Genomic DNA, 14,865 nt, shown 5'->3' with positions numbered 1-14,865 from the left:
AGCACCATTGCACTCAAGCCTGGGCAAAAAGAGTGAAACTCCATCTCAAAACAAAAATAAAAACAAAAACAAAAAACAAACAACCCAAAAACAAAAAGAAAAATTAGCCGGGAGTGGTGGCAGGTGCCTGTAATCCCAGCTACTCAGGAGTCTGAGGCAGGAGAATCACTTGAACTTGGGAGGCGAAGGTTGCAGTGAGCCAAGATGGGGCTACTGCACTCCAGCCTGGGCAATAGAATGGGACTTAGTCTCAAAACAAACAAACAAACAAACAAACAAACAAAAACAGAAAAAAGTATTGAACGGTTTGCTCTATAGGGGAGGAAAAGTGGAGCAAATAAGTCTCAAAGAAGATGGTACAGACATACAGACATTTGGTATCTTTCCCTGAGAAGAATATTCCATGTTTAAGTCCTCCTTCAACCTTCATAAAAAATGCCTAATGCCTCTTTAATAACATGTTTTAGAATAACAATTTTCAAACTCTTCTTACTCCAGTCCATCCTGGCCTGTTTGTAATTTCTCCCAAACATTTCTTATTTTATCATTTCTCCATGCCTTTACACATTCCTTGTGTTTCTGGTTAACCTATTCTTCCTTCAGAAAGCACTCTTTATACCATCTCCCTGAGATTTCTTTGCCCCACTTTCCCTCCGCTATAGAGTACATCACTCCTATACTTTTGTATTTCTGCTATACTTTATAAATCTGTTATTATATTTTGCCACATTCTACTGCAATTTTTGCTTTTTTTCGAGACAGGGTCTTGCTCTGTCACCCAGGCTGGAGTGCAGTGGCGCGATCGTGGCTCGCTGCAACCTCCACCTCCCAGGCTCAGGCTATCCTCCCACCTTATCCTCCTGGGTAACTGGGTATTTCTACTAAAAATACAAAAATTGGCTGGGTGCAGTGGCTCACGCCTGTAATCCCAAGAGCTTTGGGAGGCTGAGGTACGAGGATCACCTGAGGTCGGGAGTTCGAGACCAGCCTGACCAACATGGAGAAATCCCATCTCTAGTAAAAATACATGATTAGCCGGGCATGGTGGCACATGCCTGTAATCCCAGCTACTCGGGAGGCTGAAGCAGGAGAATTGCTTGAACCCGGGAGCCGGAGGTTGCTGTGAGCCGAGATAGTGCCATTGCACTCCAGCGTGGGCAACAAGAGTGAAACTCCATCTCAAAAAAACAAAAAACAAAACAAAACAAAAAACAGGCATGCACCACCACACCCAGCTAATTTTTTGTATTTTTGGTAGAGAGGAGGTTTCACCATGTTGCCTAGGCTGCTCTCAAACTCCTGATCTCAAGCGATCCGGCCTCTTCTGCAATTTTTTGTTTCCTACACAAAAATATGTTTGTTTGTTGTTTTCTGAGACAGGGTCTGGTCTGTTGCCCAGGCTGGAGTGCAGTGGTGCAATCTTGGCTCACTGCAACCTCTACCTCTCAGGTTCAAGCAATCCTCCACACCTCAGCCTCCAGAGGAGCTGGTACTACAGGCGCACACCACTATATCCAACTAATTTTTGTATTTTTTTTTTGTAGAGACGGGGTTTCATCATGTTGCCAAGGCTGGTCTCAAACTCCTGAGCACCAAGTGATCCGCCCCACTCGGCCTTCCGAAGTGCTGGGATTACAGTGTAAGCCACTGCACCCACCCCCAAATTTTAATTCTTACTTAAAAACACTACTAACCATGATGTTAATACTAAGTGAAATCTTGAGAGAAAATTAAATGAGATGATTAAAAAAAGGTCATTTATACTCTGGAAATGCTACTACTTTTCATATATATATATTTCACATATAATTTAACATTTATAGTTGTGTTGTTATCTAAAAATTTAATGTAAATGAAGGATGAGAAACATTGAAACAAGACTTCATGTACATGTGAGGCTCATTTTGTCTCAAACTAAATGAACAATTTTTGGTTCACTTGGAGACTTACAACAATCTTCAAACAGAATGATTTTTCATCTAGAATCAACTAACATTCACTCCAGTTCCATTTCTATTTATTTTCAGATGTCTCCTTCTTATATGTATGTACAACCGGCAAGCATAAAGTGCAGAAATCACAGCTTTTAGGATTTTACAAAGTTTTTGTAGAGAGGTACAGGGTCTTAGTGATTGCTAATTGACCCCAGCCTGCCTTGTAGTCACATACTTTGCTTGAAAGGCAAAATATTAGCCATAAAAACCAAGTAACATCTTGAAGCACTATAGATGTACCATCCTATTGTTCTTTTACTCTTTTAAATACTAAATAATTGTATGCATTTTTCCATTATGAAATGAATAAAACCATATTTTAAAAAAGAAACAGAGAAAAAAATCAACCTATCACATTAACATAGCCACTACTAACATTACTTCAAGTAGGATTTGTCTTTTAAAATTTTGTTCAACACACCATAAACATTTTTCCATATTAATACTGGTTTTGCAGACATCATTTAAATGGCTGAATAAGATTTTTTTATTGGCTTGGCCATGTTTACCTTTTTTTTTTTTTTTTTTTTGAGATGGAGTCTTGCTCTGTCGCCAGGCTGGAGTGCAGTGGCGTGATCTCAGCTCACTGCAACCTCTGCCTCCCAGGTTGAAGCGATTCCCTTGCCTCAGCCTCCCAAGTAGCTGGAATTACAGGCACGCACCACCATGCCGAGCTAATTTTTGTATTTTTAGTAGAGACGGGGTTTCACCACGTTGGCCAGGCTGGTCTTGAACTCCTGACCTTGTGATCTGCCTGCCTCAGCCTCCCAAAGTGCTGGGATTACAGGCGTGAGCCGCCACACCCAGCCGTATCTCTATTTTAAATAGTTAGGTTGTTTTAAACTATTATAAAGTTGTTATAATTAACATATTTATGCAGTTTTTTTTTCCTGTAATTTGGATTTCTTTTCCTTTTTTCCTGTAATTTGGATTTCTTTTCCTCAAAGTTTTAAACACTTAACATTTACAAGGCTAAATATACAACTCCAGGCGCAGTGGCTCATGCCTGTAATCTCAGCACTTTGGGAGGCCGAGGTGGACAGATTGCTTGAGCCTAGGAGTTTGAGACCAGCCTGGGCAACATGGAGAAACCCCATTTCTATCCTTGCCCCCTCCAAAAAAAAAAAAAAAAAATCAGTGGTCATGGTGGTGCATGCCTGTAGTTGTGAGGCTGAGGTAGGAGGACCGCTTGAGCCTTGGGAAATGGAGAACGCAGTGAGCTGAGATTGTACCACTGGACTCTAGCCTGGGCAACAGAGTGAGTCTCTGTTGACACTTGAAAAAAAACAAACAAGTATATATACACCCAACTCCAAATTGCTTTCCAAGATGTATTAACACTGTATAAAAGTGTCACTGTACCTTCACCAATGAGTACTGATTTTATGCCTGCATTGTAATGGCTTTGTATTAACATGCAGTTTTTGGTTAGGATATTAAATAAGACTAAGATGCTAATTAGTGCTGTTTAACTGTTAACCACTAGGTGGAGCTAAAATTATAACCATACTTTAATAGTGCCAATATTTCTCTCATAACACCATTCTTGAAATATTATAGGGAGTTTTCCATTTAGTGATAATACTGAATCCTAAGAGAGAACTTTAGATTAAATTTCAAATATAAAAGATGGAATGAGATGGCCGGGCGCTGTGGCTCACGCCTGTAATCCCAGCATTTTGGGAGGCCGAGGCAGGCGGATCACGAGGTCAGGAGATCGAGACCATCCTGGCTAACACGGTGAAACCCTGTCTCTACTGAAAATACAAAAAAATTAGCCAGGTGTGGTGGTGGGCACCTGTAGTCCCAGGTACTCGGGAGGCTGAGGCAGGAGAATGGCGTAAACCCGGGAGGTGGAGCTTGCAGTGAGCAGAGATCACGCCACTGCACTCCAGCCTGGGCCACACAGCCAGACTCCGTCTCAAAAAAAAAAAAAAAAAGTTTGAATGACATGGATTTAGGAAATTTGCACATGGAAGAAGCTATATTTTTCAAGATTTATGTTTCTATCTTTCTCATCTTATTTATTTATTTATTTTTTGAGATGGAGTCTTGCTCTGTTGCCCAGGCTGGAGTGCAGTGGCGTGATCTTGGATCACTGCAACCTCCGCCTCCCAGGTTCACGCCATTCTCTTGCCTCAGCCTCCCAAGTAGTTGGGACTATAGGCACCCGCCATCATGCCCGGGTTAATTTTTTGTATTTTTAGTAGAGACGGGGTTTCACCGTGTTAGCCAGGATGGTTTCGATCTCCCCTGACCTCGTGATCCGCCCGCCTTGGCCTCCCAAAGTGCTGGGATTACAGGTGTGAGCCACCATGCCCCGGCCTCTCATCTTATTTTTTGAGACAGAGTCTCGCTCTGTTGCCCAGGCTGGAGTGCAGTGGCGCCATCTCGGCTCACTGCAACCTCTGCCTCCCAGATTCAAGGGATTCTCCTGCCTCAACCTCTGGAGTAGCTGGGATTACAGGCGCCTGCCACCACGCCTGGTTAATTTTTGTATTTTCAGTAGAGATGGTGTTTCACTATGTTGGCCAGGCTGGTCTTGAACTCCTGACCACAGGCGATCTGCTCCCCCAACCCTCGGCCTCCCAAAGTGCTGGGATTACAGGCGTGAGCCACTGTGCCTGGCCTTATCTTTCTCATCTTGAATGAGAAATAAAATTGAGATAATATTTAGATGCAAATACCTCTCAAAGAAGCCAGTAATAAAGACAGCTGTGCTAGAGAAATAGTAACATCTTATATCTTATTTAGGTGATTTTTTTAAAGATTTTTTTTGTTTTTTTGAGACAGGGTCTCGCTTTGTAACCCAGGCTGGAGTGCAGTGGCATGATCTCAGCTCACTGCAGCCTCAACCTCCTGGGCTCAAGTGATCCTCTCACCTTAAACCTCCCTAGTCGCTGGGACTATAGGTGTCTGACACCACACTTGGCCAATTTTTGTATTTTTTGTAGAGGCAGGGTTTTGCCATGTTGCCCAGGCTGGTCTTGAACTCCTGAGCTCAAGCGATCTGCTTGCCTCCGCCTCCCAAGTGCTGGGATTACAAGCATGAGCCACAACACCTGGTTTAAAAGATATTTTTTACTTTAATAAGGCATTCTATTTTTATCACAGGAACTATAGGAAATAGAGGAAAAATCTACAGGCCTATGGTCCAGAAACAATGACAACTTTAGGAAGATCATTAGGTAAGTATTAAATGCGATAACCGACGGACCTAAGACTACATCAGCTGTTGGGAATTTAAGACTCAAGAGTTCTGGAATGTATCTCTGAATCCTGGATACAATTGATAATCGACCACTGTTTTATTTATTTATTTATTTATTTTGAGACAGGATCTTGCCTGTTGCCCAGGCTAGAGTGCAGTGGTGCAGCCATGGCTTACTGAAGCCTCAACCTTCTAGGCTCAATCCATCTTCCCACCTCAGCCTCCCAAGTAGCTGGGACCACAGGAGTGAGCCACCACACTCAGCTAATTTTTAAATATTTGTAGAGATAGGGTCTCCCTGTGTTGCCCAGGCTGGTCTCGAACTCCTGAGCTCAGACGATCTTCCCGCCTTGGCTTCCCAAAGTGCTGGGAGGCCTAAGCCCAGCCTAATCTACCACTTCTTGCAACAAATGCCTTTCTTCTCTTTACCTCTCAAAATCTTCTGTCCATCGCCCTTTCCCTAATACACACACACACACACACACACACACACACACACACCTTAGTATCCTGAAGGATGGAAATTTGGGGATTCTAGTTCTATTTTCCAATATATCTGACAAGAATAATTCAGAAAAAAGTAAAGATGTGCATCTAGAAATAACATTTTTTCAGCCTGACTTTTCACCTGTGTGGAACTAATTTTACCTTCTGTCCCTCAGTAATCCTCTACCAATCTGTATAGCTCCAGGCCAAGGATGTATGAGTAAGGTAATATTCCTGATCCTTTGTCCCTGGCTCTCTCAGGCAATTAATGCAGCTCTCTTTCTTCACTAGTTAAGTCCTTCTCCAACCTCCTTAGGTAGAGCAAGCTAGGAACACAGAAGTGAGGAAAATAGAGCCATATCTGCTACTCTCAAATTCAGCTGACTGTCTTCACACACCCATATCTTTTCTCTAGCAATTACTACTTAATTATATTCCCTTGATTTCTGGAGCTCATTAATGATAAGGTTCATCAGTGAATCAGTAATTTTAAAGAAAAATCTGCTGCCATAACTAGAATTCAGGAAATGTGGTATTGTGAAAGAAATCTAATGTGACCTCTGCCAACATGAAAATATATTTATAAAACGCTTCTGACAAAAGCTAATTCGAAAACAATGATTTTTCCTTCTATTACTTATACCTTTTGTTCTAAGAGTGCCCTCCGGAGGGAGACCCTCTGTTCAAGCTCGCGAAGCTCTCGATCATGTTGTGCCTCAGCTTGCATCTTGATTTTGCTCTGATACGCATTCAACAGCTCCAGTTCCTGCTGCAGCTGCATCTTCAAAACCTGGCACTCTGCTTCCTGTGCTTCATCCAAACGCAGCTGAGACAGAGAGAGAGAGAGAAAAAAAAAAGATATATCCTAATGTTAGCTATCAATTCATGACCTATGGAAAGGAGGAGGAGTGTTAGAAGACAGACTACTCTTTTTTAGTTTAGACAATTTTTCTCTCTTGTATCTTGGAGTAAACATCTCTGAAAAAGAAATGCAGAATAACCAATATCGGTATGAAGATAAAGCTATCATAAGCTATTTGGAAGATGCCTGAATAACCATATTTTTCTTAAGAAAAACCTAGAATCCCCTCTCCCCCTCCCCCTCCCTCTCCCCACGGTCTCCCTCTGATGCCGAGCCGAAGCTGGACTGTACTGCTGCCATCTCGGCTCACTGCAACCTCCTTGCCTGATTCTCCTGCCTCAGCCTGCCGAGTGCCTGCGATTGCAGGCGCGCGCCGCCACGCCTGACTGGTTTTCGTATTTTTTTGGTGGAGACGGGGTTTCGCTGTGTTGGCCGGGCTGGTCTCCAGCTCCTAACCGCAAGTGATCCGCCAGCCTCCGCCTCCCGAGGTGCCAGGATTGCAGACGGAGTCTCGTTCACTCAGTGCTCAATGGTGCCCAGGCTGGAGTGCAGTGGGGTGATCTCGGCTCGCTACAACCTCCACCTCCCAGCCGCCTGCCTTGGCCTCCCAAAGTGCCGAGATTGCAGCCTCTGCCCGGCCGCCACCCCATCTGGGAAGTGAGGAGCGTCTCTGCCCGGCTGCCCATCGTCTGGGATGTGAGGAGCCCCTCTGCCTGGCTGCCCAGTGTGGAAAGTGAGGAACATCTCTGCCCGGCCGCCATCCCATCTAGGAAGTGAGGAGCGCCTCTTCCCGGCCGCCATCCCATCTAGGAAGTGAGGAGCGTCTCTGCCCGGCCGCCCATCGTCTGAGATGTGGGGAGCGCCTCTGCCCCGCCACCCCATCTGGGATGTGAGGAGCGCCTCTGCCCGGCCGCGACCCCATCTGGGAGGTGAGGAGCGTCTCTGCCCGGCAACCGCCCCGTCTGAGAAGTGAGAAGCCCCTCCGCCCGGCAGCCACCCCGTCTGGGAAGTGAGGAGCATCTCCGCCCGGCAGCCACCCCATCCGGGAGGGAGGTGGGGGTCAGCCCCCCGCCCGGTTGGAGGTGGGGGGGTCAGCCCCCTGCCCGGCCACCCGCCCCGTCCGGGAGGGAGGTGGGGGGGTCAGCCCCCCACCCGGCCAGCCGCCCCGTCTAGGAGGTGAGGGGCGCCTCTGCCCGGCCACCACCCCGTCTGGGAGGTGTACCCAACAGCTCATTGAGAACGGGCCATGATGACAATGGCGGTTTTGTGGAATAGAAAGGGGGGAAAGGTAGGGAAAAGATTGAGAAATCGGATGGTTGCCGTGTCTGTGTAGAAAGAAGTAGACATGGGAGACTTTTCATTTTGTTCTGTACTAAGAAAAATTCTTTTGCCTGGGGATCCTGTTGATCTGTGACCTTACCCCCAACCCGGTACTCTCCGAAACATGTGTTGTGTCCACTCAGGGTTAAATGGATTAAGGGCGGTGCAAGATGTGCTTTGTTAAACAGATGCTTGAAGGCAGCATGCTCGTTAAGAGTCATCACCACTCCCTAATCTCAAGTACCCAGGGACACAAACACTGGGAAGGCCGAAGGGTCCTCTGCCTAGGAAAACCAGAGACCTTTGTTCACTTGTTTATCTGCTGACCTTCCCTCCACTATTGTCCTATGACCCTGCCAAATCCCCCTCTGCGAGAAACACCCAAGAATGATCAAAAAAAAAAAAACCACAAACAAACAAAAAAGAAAAACCTAGAATCTCATTAGATCTCTGAATCTCTTCCTCTCTAGTGGAAATAACTATAGAACAAAGACCAGCAAACTATAGTCTACAAGCAAAGTATGAGCAGGCGCCTGTTTTGTTGTTATTTTTTACAGCCCATGAGCTAAGAGTGGTGTTTTCATTTTGAAAGGGTTACATATTGCCGGGCGCGGTGGCTCACGCCTGTAATCCCAGCACTTTGGGAGGCTGAGGCGGGCGGATCACAAGGTCACAAGGTTGAGACCATCCTGGCTAACACGGTGAAACCCCGTCTCCACTAAAAATACAAAAAATTAGCTGGGCTTGGTGGCATGCGCCTGTAGTCTCAGCTATTCGGGAGGCTGAGGCAGGAGAATGGCGTGAACCCGGGAGGCGGAGCTTGCAGTGAGCCAAGATCGTGCCACTGCACTCCAGCCTGGGTGACAGAGCGAGACTCCGTCTCAAAAAAAAAAAAAAAAGAAAGGGTTACATCTTAAGCAGTTATATAAGTACCCACATAATAGCCTTAGTTTTGCCTCCTGCCTAAAAAGTCTTATCTGGCCCTGTTTTTTTTTTTCTGAGACGGAGTCTCGTTTTGTTGCCCAGGCTGGAGTGCAATGGCGCAATCTCGGCTCACTGCAACCTCTGCCCCCGGGGTTCAGGTGATTCTCCCGCCTCCGCCTCCAGAGTAGCTGGGATTATGGGCGCCCACCACCACGCCTGGCTAATTTTTGTATTTTTAGTAGAGACGAGGTTTCGCCATGTTGGGCAGGCTGCTCTCGAATTCTTGACCTCAGGTGATCCACCCGCCTAGGCTTTCCAAAGTGCTTGGATTACAGGCGTGAGCCACTGGCGCGCAGCCTTATCTGGCCCTTTAAAAAAAAGTTTACAAAGCTCTTATATAGAAAATATTTTGCGCCTGTAATCTCAGCTACTCGGGAGGCCAAGGACGGAGAATCCCCTTGAACCCGGGAGGTGGAGGTTGCAGTGAGTTGAGATCGCACTACTGCAATGCAGCCTGGGCGACAGGGCAAAATTCCATCTAAAAAAATAAATAAATAAATAAAAAATTTGTAGCCGGGCGTGGTGGCTCATGCCTGTAATCCCAGCACTTTGGGAGGCCGAGGCGGGCGGATCACGAGGTCAGGAGATCGAGACCATCCTGGCTAACACGGTAAAACCCCGTCTCTACTAAAAATACAAAAAAAAAAAATTAGCCGGGCATAGTGGCAGGCGCCTGTAGTCCCAGCTACTTGGGAGGCTGAGGCAGGAGAATGGCGTGAACCCGGGAGGCGGAGCTTGCAGTGAGCCGAGATCGCGCCACTGGACTCCAGCCTGGGTGACAGAGTGAGACTCCGTCTCAAAAAAAAAAAAAAAAATTTGTACTTGTACTCAAACACAACCATTTTTATTCCCATTATAATCATACCTTTTGCTCACTGCTTCCCAAAGCTGCTATTCTAATCTCAATAAGGTGTTAGGATCTGTGCTGGCAGGGAGCCTATTTAGAACCTCATGTCTAAATGTATCAATGAGAATTCTACATGCATCATGACATTTTCAAGCAATGTTGAGAACAGGAAGAAAATGAACCACCACCACATTTCCCAAGCTTCAGGAGAGCTATCATTTCCAACTAGTACTTTAATTGCTGTGATTTCGTTCAGGTGGTGGAAGAAAAGGGGCACTAAATTTGTTTTGCCCCAAAAAAAGCAAACTCACGGCTTGTGTGGAGAGCATTTCATTAATGCTGTGATCATACTGCTCAGCCAAGATAGCTAATTTCCGGGTCTGTTCCTCCTTGAGCCGTTTCAGAACAGCTTTGTGCTCACTCTTTGGTGTAGTCTCCAGCAGGTGATTTCTTAATGCTTTGTACTGTCTGGTTTGGATTTTGCAGGTATCCTGAAACTGCTTTTTTATTTGGAGTTCTTTAGACTGGGAAGAAAAAAAAATACATTTATGTAAGTTGTAACGAAAGGCATTTGGTATATGGTATGCTTACATACATGAAAATAAAGGCTACTAGGAAAAAAATGAGAGGAAAGCCAAGCAGGTCAGATCATCAGGTTGCAGGTACTTTTTGCACTTGGCTATTTGGCCAAACTGCTGATTGAATTTTATGCAGTTTTACAACAAAAAACCTCATTTAAAACATTAGGGCATAAACAGCCCCATTTATGATAGGACTTGTAACAATATCTGTTGTTTCACTAATAAAGTTAGTGACCTGAGTAGATATTAAAATTAGCTTTGATTACTATGCATATTCATGACAGAGAATTACATTTTTTCTTTTTCTTTTTCTTTTTTTTTTTGAGATGGAGTCTCACTCTGTTACCCAGGCTGGAGTGCAGTGGTGCAACCATTGCTTACTGTAGCCTCAACCTCCTATGCTCAAGCAATCGTCCCACCTCAGCCTCCTGAGTAGCTGGGACCACAAGTGTGCGCCACTATGTTCAGCTAATTTTTTTTTTTTTTTTGGAATCTCGCTCTGTCACCCAGGCTGGAGTCCAATGGCGCAATCTTGGCTCACTGCAACCGCCGCCTCCCTGAGTTCAACCGATTCTCCTGTCTCAGCCTCCCGAATAGCTGGGATTACAGGCATGTGCCACCATGCCCAGCTAATTTTTGTATTTTTAGTAGAGACGGGGTTTCACCATGTTGGCCAGGATGGTCTCGCACTCTTCACTTCAAGTGATCTGCCTGCCTTGGCCTCCTAAGTGCTGGGATTACAGGCGTGAACCACTGCACCTGGCCAATTTTTGTATTTTTTGTAGAGACAAGGTTTCACTGTGTTACCTAGGCTGGTGTCAAATTCCTGGGCTCAAGCAATCCACCTGCCTTGGCCTCCTGAAGTGCTGGGTTTACTGGTGTCAGCCACCATACCCAGCTCCTGGATATTTTTGTTGTTGTTGTTAGTGATGGAGTTTCCCTATGTTGCCCAGGCTGGTTCCAAACTCCTGGCCTCAAGCGATCCTCCCACCTCAGCCCCTAAAAGTACAGTAATTATAGGCATGAGCCACTGTACCTGGCTTAGAAAATTAAATTTTTTCTCATGAATTAAGCATAATAGAGTTATTGTGGCTCATGCCTGTAATCCCAGTACTTTGGGAGGCCAAGGCAGGATTGTTTATAGGCCAGGAGTTCCAGACTAGCCTGAGCCAACATAGTGAGACCCCATTTCTACAAAGCAATTTTTAAAATTAGCCAGGCATAATGATGTTCACCTGTAGTCCTAGCTGCTAGGGAGGCTGAGGCAGAAGGATCACTTGAGCCCAGGAGTTCAAGGCTGCGGTGAACCATGATTGCATCATTGGACTCTAGGCTGAACAATAGAGTGAGACACTGGTCTCTTAAAAAAAAAAAAAAAAAAGATATAAAAGCACTTTATTGGTGAGACAATATCTTATCAGATCTAGAGACAGAAAATAAAGCACATTTATTCTGTTCGTTTTAGAAACACTTTGCTGCAATTTCTTTTTTTTTTTTTTTTTTTTTTTTTGAGACGGAGTCTCATTCTGTTGCTCAGGCTGGAGTGCAGTGGTGTGATCTCAGCTCACTGCAGCCTCCATCTCCTGGGTTCAATCGATTTTCCTGCCTCAGCCTCCTGAGTAGTGGGGATTACAGGCTTGCACCACCAAGCCCAGCCAATTTTTGTATTTTTAGTAGAGACAGGGTTTCACCATGTCAGCCAGGCTTGTCTTGAACTCCTGACCTCAGGCAAACCGCCCACCTTGGCCTCCCAAAGTGCTGGGATTACAGGCATAAGCCACTGTGCCTTGCCCCCAATTTCTTTTCATGACACTCTCAACTCTAACTATACAGTTTATGTACCAAATGTGAGGCTGACTTGGAAATCTCTATTAGGAATTACTAATATTGTTATTACAATGGTCTTTTCCTTAAGAGAATAAACTAGGTAGAGATATACTTCGCAATGGTTTACTCTTTAACACAAGCAAAAACTTAAAAGTCAGTCAAGTTAACAAATCTTGGCCAGGCGTGGTGGCTCACGCCTGCAATCCCAGCACTTTGGGAGGCTGAGGTGGCCAGATCATTTGAGGTCGAGTTTGAGACCAGCCTGGCCAACACGGTGAAACTCTGTCTCTACTAAAAATACAAAAATTAGCCCGGTGTGGTGGCATGTGCCTGTAATCCCAGCTACTCAAGAGGCTGAGGCACAAGAATTGCTTGAACCCGGGAGGTGGAGGCTGCAGTGAGCTAAGATTGCACCACTGCACTCCAGCCTGGGCAACAGAGTGAGACTCTGTCTCAAAAACACACACACACACACAAAACAAACAAACAAAATAACAAAACTAATCTTTCAAAGGTTAAACAAAACTTCTGTGGTAACGGAGGAGACAATCCTCTTCGTGGGGTAACAGACATGAACTACAGTATATAAACATTTCTGAGATGAAAATATTTAAGTTTAGAGACAGAAGATCTTTGGCTTTAGTGTTTGGTTAATCAGTAGGTTGGGTATTCTATGAACTCAGGTTTTAAAAAGCTTCAATAAGATGAGATCTGTTTCTGTAAGGTGTACCAGTTGATCCTACAAGTGAGAACACATTCATTTACTGCACTGAGGCAGAACCTATTGTTGAAATTATTTTATCTTAATATAAATACTGCCAGGTATTGGCTGGTTGATTCATCATGCAACAAATGGATATGTAACCAAATTTACACACTTGTCTAAGAGAAAGTACTCCCCTCAATACTACAACATTAAATATGCCTTTCTGTATTTTTCACCATCTGAGGCACTAGACCCTAGTAATATGTCTTTATTTTGTGAGGGGTCAAGAAATGTCTAGCTAGTAAGAGAAACTCTTAGTTTAGCTATGGTTAGTAGCACTGTTTTTATTTTTGAGACAGTCTCACTCTGTTGTCCAGGCTCTGGAGTACAGTGCCATGATCATGGCTCACTGCATCCCTGACCTCCCAGGCTCAAGCAATCCTCCTACCTCAGCCTCCCAAGTAGCTGGGATTACAGGTGTGAGCTACCACCACGCCTGGCTTTTGAATCTTTTTCTTTTCTTTTTTTGAGACAGGGTCTCACTGTCACCCAGGCTGGAGTGCAGTGGCATGATCATGGCTCACCACAGCCTCAACCTCCTGGGGTTCAAGTGATCCTCTTGCCTCTCAGCCACCTGAGTAGCTGGGACCACCACAGGCATGTCATCATGCCCAGCCTCTTTTTTTTTCCCTGAGAAAGAGTCTTGCTCTGTCACCAGGCTGGAGTGCAGTGGCGCTACCTCAGCTCACTGCAACCTCCGACTCCGTGGTTCAAGCGATTCTCTTGCCTCAGCCTCCTGCGTAGCTGGGACTACAGGTGCATGCCACCACACCCAGCTAATTTTTTAATTTTTAGTAGAGATGGGGTTTCACCCTGTTAGCCAGATGGTCTCAATCTCCTGACCTTGTGATCTGCCCACGTCAACCTCCCAAAGTGCTGGGATTGCAGCCGTGAGCCACTGTGCCTGGCTTTTTTTTTTTTTTTTTTTTTTTTTTTTAAGAGATGAGATCTCCCTATGCTGCCCAGGCTGGTAATTTTTTCTAGAGACAGGGTCTCACTATGTTGCTCAGGCTGAGTAGCACCATTTTAAAATACCATTCTTAGGCTGGGTGTGGTGGCTCACGCCTGTAATCCCAAGACTCTGAGAGGCTGAGGTGGGTGGATCACTTGAGGTTAGGCATTCAAGACCAGCCTGGTCAATATGGTGAAATCCCTTCTCTACTAAATATACAAAAATCAGCCAGGTGGTGGTGCATGCCTGTAATCACAGCTACTCAGGAGGCTGAGGCAGGAGAATCACTTGAAGCTGGCAGGCAGAGGTTGCAGTGAGCCGAGATTGCGCCACTGCCCTCCAGCCTGGGTGACACAGTGAAAACAAACAAAAACAAACAAAAAAACCATTCATGGTTAACAAAGTTGTTCCAAGTGCTTCTAGACAGAAATGAAACAATGAAATTTAGATAGTATCTTCTGCCTCAGTAAAATAGCATCCATTCTTTTAAAAGGCTTTATTTTTATTTATTTATTTGTTGAGATGGAGTTTTGCCCTTGTTGCCCAGGCTGGAGTGGAATGGCGCGATCTTGGCTCACCGTAACCTCCACCTTCCTCCGCCTTCCGGGTTCAAGTGATTCTCCTGCCTCAGCCTCCCAAGTAGCTAGGAGAGCAAGCATGTGCCACCACACCCGGCTAATTTTGTATTTTTAGTAGAGATGGGGTTTTTCCATGTTGGTCAGGCTGGTCTCGAACTCCCGACCTCAGCCTCCCAAAGTACTGGGATTACAGGTATGAGCCACCACGCCCGGACATTATTTTTAATTTTTGAGACGGAGTCTCGCTCTGTCGCCAGGCTAGAGTGCAGTGGCACGACCTTGGCTCACTGCAACCTCCGCCTCCTGGGTTCAAGTCAATCTCCTGCCTCAACCTCCCAAGTAGCTGGGACTACAGGCACGTGCCACCATGCCTGGGTAATTTTTGTATTTTTAGTAGAGACGAGGTTTCACCATGTTGGCCAGGATGGTCTCTTGACCTCATGATCCCCTGCCTCGG

At 45.4% G+C, this 14,865-nt stretch overlaps 1 protein-coding gene across 2 annotated transcripts in view, besides 2 other annotated features; it reads right to left on the bottom strand.

The window, feature by feature from the left end:
• Positions 1-14,865, bottom strand: part of TAOK1 (TAO kinase 1) — a 161,541-nt gene that overhangs the window by 11,269 nt on the left and 135,407 nt on the right. For both annotated transcript variants that reach the window (NM_020791.4, NM_025142.1), the window contains 2 exons: positions 10,016-10,228; positions 6,335-6,517 (listed from right to left, as the gene is read on the bottom strand). In NM_020791.4, the coding sequence (NP_065842.1) occupies positions 6,335-6,517; positions 10,016-10,228 (396 nt within the window). The remainder of the gene's footprint in view (positions 1-6,334; positions 6,518-10,015; positions 10,229-14,865) is intronic.
• Positions 13,050-13,550: an enhancer, noted in NCBI's record as "H3K4me1 hESC enhancer chr17:27854103-27854603 (GRCh37/hg19 assembly coordinates)". NCBI's record gives its function as "activates a minimal SCP1, AML or CMV promoter by ChIP-STARR-seq in naive H9 embryonic stem cells {active_cell/tissue: H9 hESC(naive)}" and the evidence as "EXISTENCE:reporter gene assay evidence [ECO:0000049][PMID:30033119]".
• Positions 13,551-14,051: an enhancer, noted in NCBI's record as "H3K4me1 hESC enhancer chr17:27853602-27854102 (GRCh37/hg19 assembly coordinates)". NCBI's record gives its function as "activates a minimal SCP1, AML or CMV promoter by ChIP-STARR-seq in naive H9 embryonic stem cells {active_cell/tissue: H9 hESC(naive)}" and the evidence as "EXISTENCE:reporter gene assay evidence [ECO:0000049][PMID:30033119]".

The sequence above is a fragment of the Homo sapiens genome, chromosome 17 (genome assembly GCF_000001405.40).
Source record: "Homo sapiens chromosome 17, GRCh38.p14 Primary Assembly".
Taxonomy (NCBI): domain Eukaryota; kingdom Metazoa; phylum Chordata; class Mammalia; order Primates; family Hominidae; genus Homo; species Homo sapiens.
The sequence above is the reverse complement of the archived record's forward strand: the minus strand, read 5'-3'. Positions and strand labels throughout refer to the sequence as shown.